General features: G+C 46.9%; 1 annotated feature.

The window, feature by feature from the left end:
* Positions 879 to 1,699: an enhancer, noted in NCBI's record as "OCT4-NANOG hESC enhancer chr19:32589463-32590283 (GRCh37/hg19 assembly coordinates)". NCBI's record gives its function as "activates a minimal SCP1, AML or CMV promoter by ChIP-STARR-seq in primed H9 embryonic stem cells {active_cell/tissue: H9 hESC(primed)}" and the evidence as "EXISTENCE:reporter gene assay evidence [ECO:0000049][PMID:30033119]".

Raw genomic sequence — 14,780 nt, 5'->3', positions numbered from 1 at the left:
GTCTAGGCCCTGCTTCTCACCACATAGAAAGCCAATTACTGAGAAAACAATTATTGCCAAGGGAGAAGGCTTTAATCGGGTGTTGCAGCCATGGAGATGGGAGGTCAGTCTCAAATTCCTCTCCCTGGCTGTCTAAAATTAGAGGCTTATGCAGCAGGGAAGAAATGTAACAAGTGTTGGAAAATAGGAACTGGGGAATGGTGAGGAGGCAATCATGATGAGTGAGGGGTCTGGCATCTCCTTGTCTGGATGTGGTGATCTGGTGAGTTTCAGTTCTTTCATACTTTTTGTGGGGTCTGGGAGTGTTTTCCTGAGGAAGGAATTCAGATTAAACAAATGACCAGAAATACCATTTGACCCAGAAATCCCATGACTAGGTAGAAACCCAGAGGAATATAAATCATTATTTTACAAAGATACAGGCACACATATGTTCATTGCAGCGCTATTCACAATAGCAAAGACATGGAACCAACCCAAATGCCCATCAATGATAGACTGGATAAAGAAAATGTGGTACATATACACCATGGAATACTATGCAGCCATAAAAAGGAATGAGAACATGTCCTTTGCAGGGACATGGATGAAGCTGGAAATCACCACTCTCAGCAAACTAACACAGGAACAGAAAACCAAACACCGCATGTTCTCACCTATAAGAGGGAGTTGAACAATGAGAAAATATGGACATAGGGAGGGGAACAACACACACCAGGGCCTGTTGCCGGGGCGAGGGGAGGGAGAGCATCAGGACAAATATCTAATGCACGTGGGGTTTAATACCTAGATGACAGGTTGATAGGTGCTGCAAACCACCATGGCACATATTTAATCATGTAACAAACCCACACTTTCTGCACATGTATCCTAGAACATAAAGTAAGATAAAATTTTAAAAACAAAACAAAACAAAAAATAAATAAGCTTTAAGAGCAGAAGAGTTAGTATCTATGTTTATCCGAAAGCACTGTCTAAGGAAGTGTTGGATCTGTTTCAGTTCCCCGTCACCAAAACTAAACTCAGTTGTTATCTGACCTTCTCAGAAATCCGGAGAGAGATAACAGCCACTTTCCCAAACAGGTCTGTTTCAGTCCTCAATCCGCATGATAATGAAGTTCCCTCTGCTTTAATCCTCACACAAAAAAGGAAGCCTGGAGTAACCTGATATTAACTAATCAGTTATTTTTCTATTGTTCTGTCTAAAAGTAACGAATCCTCCCTTTGTTCTTTGTTTCTGCTTTCTTCAGCCTTCTCTGTCAATAAAGCAAATTCTGCGGGGCTCACTGGATTACTCATTCTGTGTTTTGGAATAAAGTGTTGCCTGGTTCTAGAATTGCAAATAAAGCCAATTGAGCACTTTAAACTCATTTGTTGTGCTGTTGTCTCTTGAATACCCTGGGGGTTAGGGATGCCCATTCTTCTCCACCCACCCATCGTGCCTTTGAAACTCTACATATAATTTTGACTTCCCTAAAACTTAGCTACTAGTACCTACTGCTGACTGGACTCCTTCCAATAACAGAAACAATCACTTAATACATATTTTTAATGTTACATGTTTTACATACTGTATGCTTACAATAAAGTGAGCTAGAGCAAAAATGTTATTAAAAAAGTCATAAGGAAAAGAAAATGCATTTGCTGTTCACTAAGTGGAAATGGATTATCACAAAGGTTTTCATCCTCATCATCTTCCCATTGAGTAGGCTGAGGAAGAGGAGGAAGAGGAGGGGTTGGTCTTGCTGTCTTGGATGGCGAGGTGGAAGAAAATCTGAATGTAAGTGGACCCAAGAAATTCAAACCCATGTTGTTCAAGGGTCAGTTGCAGTTTTGTCTTCTGACAGATGCATCATATTGTTTGACCATTTCCTTTTTGGCAAACATTGAGTTGCTTCTGATTTTTTCACATTACTAGTGAAGTTGTGGCCAATTTTTTTTTTTTTTTTTAACCATTGATCACTTGGTGCCCTCTGGATATTTCTTTAAGGTGAAGTCCTAGAAGAGAAAATCCTATGTAGTGAGTCCCCTTTATTTTGAAATATTTGTCCCCCTGGTAAGTTTGGCTCTGTGAGCTTTGTGGGAGAGTGACAGCCTAGATTTCCAAATAAGAGGTAGTCTCTGCCAAGTTGTTTGTTTGATAGATCAAAATTTTTAAAATTGGAATTTCTTTTATGGTGGCGGTTGAATACATTTCCATACGTCTCTTGTGTGTGTATATTTCTTCTCTTGTGCGTTGTTTATTTGCCCACTTTTCCCTTGAGGATTAAGTTTTTGAAAGCGCTCTTAACAGCAGAAAGATATCAACTATTCAATGACTCATCCCTCTTTGGATGGGGTTGAAAAAGGAGATATGGGGGGTTGGGGTTTGAACCAGGGCTTGAGTAGTTTTGAGCAGGATTTTGATAGTTGGATTCTAGGTCAGTCCAAAGGGCATCTTCTTAGGTGAGCCATGAACGAGAACACACTTAGGAAAACCACAGCCTTACTTTGTACATTTAAGAAAGGAAGTCAAGTGAACAAGGGCAAATTATTTTTGGTCTTGGTGTCTACTGAAACTAACATGCAAGGAACCACAAATATTTATTTATCTGTGAAAGGTGACATGCTGACAGCATTCTTGGAGAGGTTCTTCATTAAATAAAACCAGACAACTGGGCATTACTTTGAATTTCTTTGCTGGTCAATTAGCTTGGTCTGGGATGCAGAGGGCTGGGGGAAAAAATCATAAGGCTTGTGGGGATCTTCTAGCTTTTCACTGCGTTGTGTGCATGTGCATGTGTGTGTGTGTATGTGTATGCGTGTCTGTGTGTGTTTGTATTAACCAGTGAAATATTTTATGGAGTTGATGGCGGATCTGGTCTTCAGCACCCCCAGCACCCCATTCTCCACAATGGCTGCCTTGTGTTTTTATGTTTTCAGTGTTTACACACACGTGGGATTAGGAAGCACTCCATTGGCTGGTTCTGAATTTGGATTGACTCTGATTGGCTCCGTGGTAGGCTGTTAATGATCACTGCCATCATTTCAGAGGGTGTTGGCAAGGCGATAATGCAATTAACATCTCCCTCTTTGATAGAGAATGAGGTGAAGACAAGCTGACTTTTGGAACCTGATGATCACTGATAATTAGGGGAAACCCTTGAGGGGAAGCTATTGGGCTGTTGTAACAACTGCACCTGAACACATGTGCAGCCAGCCCAACTCTGAAACCACTTGAGGGCAAATAAATGCCCACTGGTCCCATCCCTTTGGGGTTGGGCTGGGCACAGCCATTCTGCACTTTATTTTTAGCAAATGTGTATTGCTAATGTGGCCAGAACCACTGATGATGTTTCAGGAAATTTATTTAAAATTCAATTTGTACACCGTGACTTTAAGCACTACTTTTGGGGAAGTGTGTTTTGCATTATGCCATATCAGTTCGGGATTATGGACTCTGAGGGAATATGTATAATTTTTATGCACTATGTTTATTGGCACATTTGTGCTAATAGCCAATAAGATGATATTGCTGTCTTAATACCATGCGAGTCTCTGTGACTCTGTGGCTAATGAGTGGGGGCCTCTGAGTACCTGACTGAGGCGGGGAAGGGGGCAACATGGGCTCCGGGATATGGGGTACGATGCTGAGAATCCAAATACTGGCTTGGCAGATTGTACCCTTATAATATGGAATATGTAATGCAGAGAGGAAATCCGGGTCTAACCAGGGAATGGAACCACCAGGGAAACACTGACATTGCCTTTACAGCAAAGTGACCGTCCTTGGGAGACAAACAACAATCCCAAAGATATTTAGTCCTCAATTAAATAAAGCCATGTCCTCCTGATTGGCTTCCAGCGACCCTTCTGCTCCCAGGAGCCGGAGATTTTGCTTTTTGCGTGAATTTATGGCTACTTCTGGACAGATAACAAGATGTTAGACAGCTGACCCTCCAACTTGGTTCTAGCTTCTCTCTGTGAATTTCATGTGATAATTTTCCAAGGCGTACCTCTCATGTTGAATTATTCATGGGAATCACACCAAGAAACAGTATATATATATATATATATATATATTCAGTGCAATTATCATGTTAGTGCAAACCATGTTCATTGGAAAATTAAAACCAAAAAAAGTCCCTTAAAATGAAATAAAAAAGTAAGGAATAGGGTATTTTTTGCTTCAAGGAATGCCTATTGGAGATTAGGTTTCTGTATATCCCAAGAGGCAGCCAGTAGAGATTTGGGGCTGAAGTCTGGCCTTAGAAGCCCTCACCTTTCTTTTATTTGAGGGGGATGGAGTCTCACTCTGTTACCCAGGCTGGAGTGAAGTGGCATGATCTTGGCTCACTGCAACCACTGCCTCCTGGGTTCAAGCGATTCTCCTGCCTCAGCCTCCCGAGAGGCTAGGATTACAGGCACCCACCACCATGCCCAGCTAATTTTTGTATTTTTAGTAGAGACGGGGTTTCGCCATATTGGTCAGACTGCTCTCGAACTTCTGATCTCAAGTGAACTGCCCCCCTCGACCTCCCAAAGTGCTCGGATTACAAGCATGAGCCACCATGCCCAGCTAATTTTTGTATTTTTAGTAGAGATGGGGTTTCACCACGTTGGTCACGCTGGTCTCGAACTCCTGACCTCAAGTGATTAGCCCACCTCAGCCTCCCAAAGTGCTGGGATTACAGGCGTGAGCCGCTGCACCCAGCCCCAGAAGCCATCACCTTTGTCAAAGCCTAAGAGCTGAACCACAGCAATAAAGCAGAAAACGGCTACTTTACCTGCATTCTCTAGGTTCTACTGATTCCCTTTTGTACCCAGCTAGGTGATCTGACGTTAAAATGTGAACTAGCATCAACAGGCAACTTCCATGAAGTCTCATGAAAGAGGGAATCTGGCTGGTGGAGGGATTTCAGAGTCCTTTGGATGCCACGGGACTCTCTCGGCTAGGACATGTTTGATTCCTAGACTAACTTGGTCAGAAGAGTTTAAGTCTGGGCCTTCCCTTCACCCCTAGACACTGAACCTATTCATGTAGTACATCGACTCGTAATGATCTTTTTATCATCTACAACGCAGGGCACAGGACTGGGTTCCTCGTGGGGAGGGAGTGGCAGAGAAATCCCCCTCCTGCAACCCAGAAATCTTGGGAGCTGCTGTCCCTCCTTGGGGTTCCAAGGATCATGTCTTCTCCCCAGCTCTCCTCCTTACTTCCAAACCAAGATGTCTTCTGCCAAGCCCCGTCGCTTCTCCTGTGCATTGTAGGATTGGAAAGAAAGCCCATAAGCCACTTCTGCAGGTGATCCCACCTCCCAGGGAGAATTGGCATCTTAATAAAGCAGTCTTAATGACAAAGCTGTTTTTAGCCCAAGGGAGGGGCAGGTCATGGTGATGGTTTGGGCAGCAGGTGTGACTTTAGAATGATATTTTAGACACATGGACATAGAGTGTGGAAGAGTAGTCATTGAAGACTCTGAAGGGTGAAAGAGGAGTGAAGGATGAGAAATTACTTAACGGGTATTATGTACACTCTTGGGGTGATGGCTATACTAAAAGGCCAGACTTCACCACTGTGAAATATATCCACGGAGCAAAACTGCACTTGTACCCCTTATAAAAAAGAATTACACTTTTTTTTTTAAAAAAGGATATTTTGTGAATCCACCCTATTCCAAGATTATAAAAATGTTCATCCAATTTTCACCTGGGGTTTTATGGTTTTTGTTTTGCCACATTTACATCTTCACACTACCTGGGATTTTCTATCCTTCCTCTCTCCCTTCCTCTTTCTCTTCCTCTTCCTCCTCTTTTTCCTCTTCCTCTCTGTCTTCTCCTTCCTCTTCTCCTTCTTCTGCTTTTCTTCTTTGAGACAGGGTCTTGTTTTGTCACCCAGGCTGGACTGCAGTGGTGCGATCATAGCTCACTGCAGCCTTGACCTCCCGGGCTCAGGCAATCCTCCTGCCTCAGCTTCCTGAATAGCTGGAACTACAAGGATGAGCCACCATGCCCAGCTAACATTTTTGTATTTTTTGTAGAGTTGGGGGTCTCACTGTGTTGCCCAGGCTGGTCTCAAAATCCCAGGTTCAAGCGACCCTCTTGCCTCAGAGTCCCAAAGTGCTGGGATTAGTGACATGAGCCACTGCACCCGACCTCTTTTTGTATTTTGCCTCATTCAATGGAAAGACTGATGTTGTCTGCAGTGTTGGCATTGCCATTATCCTCCGTGTTATTACCTGTCCTGGTCATCTCATTGTCTCCTCCAAATTGGCTCGGCTTCCCCATGTGGATGCCTACCACCCAGGGATCCAAGGAAGAAAATAAGTTGAGAGGTCACTCCTGTCCCTTCCTTCTTATCCCACTCACTATTTCCAGCCAGTCACGGAGGCCAGCCTGCAAGCTGGCCTTAGCACCAGGCTCTCCATACCTCCTACCCTGCCCCTCCTCTCTGCAGCCTCGGGTCCAGCTGTCTTCCATGCATGGGCTGGGCTTTGGCTGCCCCAGACAATCCCACCTGCCACCTGCACACGTCGTCTCCGTCTACCTGCTCATTTTGTGAGAATGCCTTTGCCACTCATGTGTCTGTTAAACCCCAAGTCTCAAAGTGCTGCCTCCTCCAGGAAGCCTTCCTCACTTGCTCTTCTACTGCCGCACACTTTGTTTTTGCATCTGCCACAGCTCTCCTCACTGCCTTCAGTGGCAGCAGGCAAGGTCCTTCCTGGTGGGGGGCACCACTCACACCAGAGCTCTGTGCTGGAAATGGAGTGTATTGGCTATAGTAGTACCACTAATGAGAACTACCATTCTGGGGGGTCGGAGGATGTAGCAGAGCCAAGATTCCAACCCTGGGGCTGGCTCCTTCAGAGCCTGGCTATGGTAGAGTCGCTGGGTGTGGGCTGTCTGCTTGGTGACCACAGTGGGGAAGACAAATTACCTGCCTCCTGGAAACTTACTCTTGCCTCCTGAGGACACCCTTTTGGTTAAGACCAGGGAACTAGGATGCTGGTCCCATTGCAAAGGGACTCCCAGAGATCTGGGCCTTACCTCTCTGGAAATTCTACTCCGCCAGGAAGCAGAGTTTTACTGGCTTTGAGGTGACCTGGTGAGGCCCAGGAGAGCATCATTGGAATGTCCCATTTTAAGGGACTACAATAGCGTACATACCCATCTAATGTTTTATTTTTTACAATTTCCTCTTATTAATGTTGTATGTAATAGAAATCAGTGCCCCTCAGAATAGTGCATTTGAATGCCCCTTAGAACCTTTCATTTACTGCTGAGCACATGCCTAGGCATGTGACATCAGCTGGCCATTTTTTTTTTTTTTTAAATTTTCCCAGACAGGGTCTCACTCTGTCACCTAGGCTGGAGTGCAATGGCACAATCATAGTTCACTGCAGCTTCACCCTTGTGGGCTCAAGGGATCCCAGGCAGTTCTTATCCTCCTGAGTAGCCAGGACTACAGGCTGCATAACCCAACACCTGGCTAATTTTAAACACTTTTTGAAGAGTTACGGTCTTGCCCTGTCACACAGGCTGGAGTGCAGTGTCTGTAATGCAGGCTGGAGTGCAGTGTCTGTCACACAGGCTGGAGTGCAGTGGCACGGTCACAGTTCACTGCATCCTCAAACTCTTGGGCTCAAGGGATCCTCCTGCCTCAGCCTCCTGAGTAGCTAGGACTGCAGGCATGCACCACCACACCCGACTTATTTTTAAACTTTTTGTAGAGACAGGGTCTCACTCTGTTGCCCAGGCTGGTCTGAAACTGCTGGACTCAAGTGATCCTCCTGCCTCAGCCTTCTGAGTAGCTGGGACTGCAGGCATGAGCCACCACCACATCTAGCTATATATTTTTTTTTTTTGTAAAGACAATGTTGCTGTGTTGCCCAGGCTGTTCTTGAACTCCTGGCCTCAAGGGATCTTCCCACCTTGGTCTCCCAAAGTGCTGGGATTACAGATGTGAGCCACAACACCTTGCCCCAAATGACCATTTTTGTCCCCATTATATAGGTGGGACATACAGTCCAGGGTACCGGGAGTAGGTGAGGAAGTACAGGGGCATGTGAAGGGTAGGAATGGAATAGCCAGAGTCTAGATGGCAGCAGTGACTGTTATCCATCCCTGCAAATCTTCCATTTCACAGAGTGACTGGGCATGAATACCTTCACGTCTTCCACTTCCCTCTCCCAGGTCCTCCCCAGCCCTGCCCCGCGGTGACTGAGGGTGCTCAGGGTCCGGAACTCCCGTGGCCAGAAGGAGAGGTGGAAGGTGAGCTGTATCCCCCTCCTTCCCCTTACTTTTGTAGACACACAACATTTCCCCCTTTGAAAAAATTTCCCCTTTAATAACTGTACTTAGGTGTTTTTTTAGACCCCATAGTGTTTGCAACAACTGTTGTGGCTCTGTTATGATAATACAAGAAAGTTACATTATGAAATAAATGCATTTTAAGGTTTTTCCCTGGCAACATAATGTAAGGATCATTCTGCATGTTGGTACTAAAGAATCAAAAACAGTTTAGTGAGTGGATGTGAACACTGTTTCTTGTCATCCAGTTAATGGATCTACTGTAGTGTTTGTGTTCCTTCCAGCCTGGCTGCCGTACATCAATGAAAAATTATGTTTTTTTCCTCGGTGCTACAACACCCGTCATCTTTATAGTCAACGCATTCCCCTTCAAGTCGTGCGGTGTAAAATGCTTACCATTTCTCGGCCGCTTTCCCTCCCCATCATTTACCTGGTTCTCAGCAATCGAGGGTCAGTGCTTCCTCTTATTAATGTTCTGTATAATAGAAATCAGGGCGCCCGTGTTACTCATGTGGAAGCCCGAGCAAACAGCAGCTGTTAGTGTGCAAAGGGCAGACAGGAAGCCTAGCTTTATTTTTTTAACCCTCTTTGTTTACTGGATCTCTGCAGTCAATCACGGCCCCTCTTTGCATTTAAAGCAAGCCTGCCTGACTCCTGGAAACAGGCATCAGCTGCGAACACTTGCAGTAAAATCCAGAATAGCCAGGATGCTGGCCCCATTGCCCAGGGATTCCCAGAAACCTGGCCTTGCCTCTCTGAAAATTCTGCTCTCCCAGTCAGCAAAGTTTTCCTGGCTTCCCGGTGACCTGGTGACGTGCAGGAGAGCATCCTTCACAGGGGAATAAGCTCTCCAACTCACATAATTTTAGGGTCACCAGGAAGCATGGCTTACTATGGCCAACTGTTACCCCACTGGCCCTCTGGAAACTTCCATATCATGTCTCAATCTGCAGTCATGCTTCACCCCAGAGTTGCAAACCAGATACCTCTAGGGGCCAGGCAGGTAGTGCCATCAGTGGCATGGGCTAGAGAGGGCCACTTACTGCTGCCCTGCCCCAGCTGACCTAGCCAGGTAGGAATGCAACCCAGAATTGCCTAGTCCTCCATTATTTATGTAGAAGTGGTAGTACAGACTAAAAAGCAAAGCCTCCTGATTTTTAAATGGGGGATAATTAAAGTAAAAAATAATTTGTGCATGTCAAACCAAGCCAGGCCACAGAGAGACAGTGACTTTCTAGTGGCTAACCTCTTCCACATCCTGGCCTTGCTGTGTGACCTCAGTCATGGCTTCAGAGGAGGGGATGTGGGGGTGGAAATTGCTTGAGTGCTGTGTTAGTCCATTTTGTGTTGCTATACAGCAATAGCTCAGACAGGGTAATTTATAAAGAAAAGAGGTTTATTTGGCTCACAGTTCTGCAGGCTGTACAAGCATGGCAACCACATTGGCTTGGCTTCTGGTGAGGCCTCAGGAAACTTCCAATCATGGGGGAAAGCGGACAGGGAGCAGGGGTGTTACATGGCGAGAGAGGTACCAAGAAAGAGAGAAGAAGAGGTGCCAAGTTCCTTTTAGTAACTATCTCTTGGGTGAGCTAACATAGTGAGAACACACTTATTACCATGGGGAGGGCACCAAGGATTCATGAAGAATACACCGCCATGACCGAAACACCTCCCACCAGGCCCCACCTCCAACACTGGGGATCACCTTTCAATATGAGATTTGGAGGGAACAAATATCCAAACCATTCAGGTGCCCCCTCATCTAGCCTTCATTGAATGGGTCCTTATGGGTGTTGGAGCATTCAGGGCTGAGCAGCATGAAACATCCTAATTGCCAAGAAGTGGCCCCCATTCCCATGACAGCAGTGCCGCCTGGGAGGATGAGCAAGTCCTACCTAAATGTTCTTTCCTGTGCCTCCCTCTACAGAGCACAGCTCCCTGCAAACCTTCCACCCATGGTGGTGTTCCATATCCAGGCTTTGCTGGGGTCTTCAGGGGATGTCAGAGCCTGGGTGAGTGCTGAGCAAGAGACATTTGGAAGCTCAGAATGGAGGCATTTGGGGGATCTCGCTTGACATTCCCAAAGAGATGCTGCCAGGTTTGGGGCTGTGGTTTGGTTTTTTGTCCTTGCTCAACTCTGTGATCTTATGGGTCTCCGTCCCACCATGTTCTGAGATCTTGCTCAGCGTCATGCCCTAGGCTCTGCACCTGCAGATATTTGATTGAAATGGCTGCTTTCCTAGGGAGGGGTTCACTGATGAGTTGCTAGCATTAGATAGATAGATAGATAGATAGATAGAGAGAGAGAGAGAGAGAGAGAGAGAGAGAGAGAGAGAGGAGATCAGCTCTTCTCAAGCAAGCCTGCAGAGCAAGCTGGCAGCTTATTTCCAAGGTGAAGATGTCATATGGTCATGGAAAGGAAGGCAGGATGGAGACCTTGGCGTTCAGGGTCCTGAGAAGAACCCATCAAGCCACCATCCCATTTGATTCAAGGGGATGCAGGCAGCACACATGACCTATTTCTAAAGTGGTATCTTCCTACAGAGAGGCAGCTGCAGCGTGCCGGTGCAATGGCCCCTGGGCTCACTGGAGCCATCTGGGAGGAACCTGGTGTCACCGCTCCAGGGCCACGAAGGTGGATTTTGCTGCTCTGTCAGCTTTCTTGGAGTTGGCCTAGATGAGCGGGCCTGTGGGCACTGGGATGGAGGCTGAGAGTGTCAGGGTGTCAGGCCTCTGTGGGACTGGCTGTGTGCCCAGAGGTGCGTGTGGATGCTGGAAGGGCAGGGTGGGGCATGTGTGGGCAGTGACGGTCACTTGGTGAATGTATGAGCCTTAGTGGTGAGCTCCATGTGCTCTGTCCTGAGCTGCTCATGTCCCAGAGCATGGCAGGGCCTCTGCCTCCAAAGGTGATGTAAGTGGCTGCATGGCCAGGCTGTGCCCATTGGCTCTCCGGGTTCTATGTGGGTGTCAACCCTCAGTGGCTGACGACAGCATGGGGACCTGGCCTAATGGCTTTCTCCGGAGCACTGAGCAGCATTGCTGTGGGTTGGACTTCCCTTTATCAGCTCCCAGTGCAATCAGGAGTGGATGTGCAGCATGGGTTTTCACATCCGGAGCCCTGGTGCTTCCGGCACTAACCGGGACAGCGAGTGACATTGCTGAGTGGCCTGGGGCTCACGCCAGAGGCTCTTCCGTTTCTGCATTCTTGAATTTGGTAGGATTCCTTGGATAAGGCCCTGTGAGGCCCTCTCCCTGCCTTCTGGAACCCCTGCTCTCCAGCACATTCTCGGGGTTTTGGGGATTTTGCTATAATGGGACAGGAGTCAGTGAAAAGGAACCCATCCTTCATTCCTACCTTCGTGAGTCCCAGCAGTCCTGCCTGCTCAGGAATGCTGAACAGGTTGAGCATACCTAATCCAAAAATTCGAAATCTGAAATGCTCTGAAATCCAAAACTTTCTGTGCCCCGATATGATGCCACAAGAGGAAAATTCCACACCTGACCTCATGTGACAGATCACAGTCAAAACTGTGTTTCATGGCTGGGTACTGTCGCTCACGCCTGTAATCCCAGCACTTTGGGAGGCCGAGGCGAGCAGATCACCTGAGGTCAGGAGTTTGAGACTAGCTTGACCAATATGGTGAAACCCATTCTCTACTAAAAATAGAAAAATTAGCCTGGTGTTGTGGTGCATGCCTGTAATCCCAGCTACTCGAGAGGCTGAGGCAGGAGAATCACTTGAACCTGGGAGGTAGAGGTTGTGGCAAGCCGAGATCGTGCCTCTGCACTCCAGCCTGGGTGAAAGAGCGAGACTCTGTCTCAAAAAAAGAAACAAAACACAAACCAAAAGAAAACTTTGTTTTATGCACAAAATTATTAAAAATGTTGTAGGCTGGGTGCAGTGGCTCACACCAGTAATCCTAGCACTTTGGGCAGCTAGGGCAGAAAGATCACTTGAGGCCGAAAGTTTGAGACCAGCCTGGGTAACAGCCAGACCTTGTTCTAAAAACAAAACAACAACAAAAATGTATAAAATTACCTTCATGTGTACATGAAATGTAAATTAATTCTGTGTTTAGGCTTGGGTTTTATCCCCAAGGTGTTTCATCCTATATTTGCAAATATCCTCAAATCTGAAAAAATCCCAAATCCAAAATGCTTCTGGTCCCAAGCATTTTGAATAAGGGATACTCAACCTGCATTTCTACCTGAATTGTGGTAGAAGAGCAGGTGAGGACTGACCCGCTTTGGAAGACAGGACTTTGCTGAGGTCAGCTGGACTGGGGGTGGGTACCACCTTTGATCATTGTGGCACTTGCCTGCAGGAACTCAAGAGAACACAGTTCTATCCCCAAATCCTGGCCTACCCACTGGTGAGCTCTGGACAAGAGATATTTGGAAGCTTAGAAAGGAGGGATTTAGGGAATCCCTCCTAACGTTCTGAATATCCCCAGAATTCCTGAAGAAGAGGCACTCCTAAGCATGGGACTGTGACCTTTTTTTCTTTTGTTTTTTTTGAGACAGCGTCTTGCTCTGTCATCTCAGTTGGAGTTCAGTGGTGTGATCATAGCTCACTGTGGCCTCCATCTCCTAGGCTCAAGCGATCTTCCCACCTCTGCCTCCCGAGTAGCAGGGGGTACAGACATGTGCCACTATGCCTGGCTGTTTTTTTTAAAATTCTTTTGTAGAGATGGAGTCTATGTTGCCCAGGCTGGCTGCAAACTCCTGAGCTCAAGCGGTCCTCCTGCCTCAGCCTCCCAAAGTGCTGGGATTATAGGTGTGAGCCACATGCCCAGCAAGTGTCCTGTTTTTAAACGTTATTTTCTTTTCTTTCTCCTTCCTGCCCATTCCTGGTCTTGCCTCTAATAATCAGATAATAGCCTTTGTTCTCCCTTCTGCCAGGCACTGCTTGCATGATGATTCCCTTATTTAATTTTGTGTTTGTTTGGAAGTTCCGGAGACTAAACCTTAAAACAATTCAAGCCACTGTGGAATTCTCCCCTCCTGGAGATTACTTCAAGGCTGCAGTTAATTTGCAACCCAGTTCTACCTGAGATGGTGCCAGTCCATTCACCAGATGGGGCAACAGCTCAAGACAGTCATCAAAACAAGTCACATAGACTAGCATCCCCAGTCACTCCTGCATGTGCTACATACCAAAATCCCTTTTTAAAGTTCTTACCCTTTACCCAAAAAGCTGAAGCATTTTCTTTAGGCATGCACCTGGCTGCTTCCCCACTGCTAGCTTTGGAAGTAAAGTCACTTTCCTTCCACCACACCTCGTCTTTATTATTTGACTTTGCCAGTGGTGGGTGGGTGAGTGACTGAACCTGCATTTGGTTACAGGACCTTTGGTTTGGTTTCTTGTCCTTGCTTGAGTCTGTGACCTAATGGTTCTCCTTCTCCACTGTATTCTGAGATCCTTAAGGGCAGGAACCAAGGCTTTAGCTTTATTTGTTTCCCTGTCACTGTCTGACTTTCTCCTCCTTCCTTTCTCTTCCCCGCCCACCGGCCTACCCGCCCTCCTCATCCACACTTGTCATCTTTACTTGGAAACAGAAGCTGCTGCTGCTTCTCCTGTCCTGGCAATGCAGACGTGTGATGTGGCCCTTGGGGAGGACCCAGTGTCCAGATGATACTGTAGGGAGACTCTGGGTGGGAGCAAGGGGGAATGACCCCACACCTGGGCCCTGCATGAGTGGAGATTTGCCATCTGTCCTCAGAGAATTGCATGTCACATGTCTGGCTGGCCCAGCCTGGCCCTTTGGTCTGTGCCTTTCCAGAATGTAAGTGTCTCTTGGCCCCCTTGAGGCCCCACTTAGCTGAGTGAGACTTCGGTCAGTGCCACTCTCTCTGCTACATCTCCTGAATGTGGGGTGAGTGGCCGCTCTTGAAAACTTGAGCTGAGTGAAAAGCTTCACTCTTGGCAATTTTTCTGCTGAGGCTTCCTCCAAGTCAAGGAGGGTCCTCCAAAGAGGAAAGGCCTCACTCTCTCAGTACGGGTGACACGCAGGACCCTCTGAACCCCCAACAGGGACAACCAAGGCATCCCTCCAAGTCATGCTTCCAAAAAGAACAGGACTTCAGGTCTCTCAGGTGTGGTGTGAGCTCAGCTGCACTCACTGACTTAGCAGGACTATGGTGGTGGTTTTGTTCTGCCATGGCCTTAAAACTTCCTGGAAGTGGGGTTCAGATATTTGTCCTGAAGGGGTGATGGGGTGGGGTTCTTGATTATACCAGACAGCGAGTAAGTTTCTTTATTTTCAGGATGTCTGTGGTTGAGGCTGGCTCTGTATGATCCAAAGCAAATTCTTCATCCTCTCTGGACCTCAGTGTCTCCTTTTTGGCACTATGGCTAAAGTAGGAGGAGATACTTTTGTGCTTTGGGAAGAAAAGTGAAATCCCCAGTGCTGCCCATCATCAGGATGCCATCACTCTGAGCTCATTGCTATGGAACTGGTGCACTCTTGAGTTTTTGTCCCACGTGGTTC

The sequence above is a fragment of the Homo sapiens genome, chromosome 19 (assembly GCF_000001405.40).
Source record: "Homo sapiens chromosome 19, GRCh38.p14 Primary Assembly".
Classification (NCBI taxonomy): Eukaryota; Metazoa; Chordata; class Mammalia; order Primates; family Hominidae; genus Homo; species Homo sapiens.
This window is presented reverse-complemented; position numbering and strand designations above follow the sequence as displayed.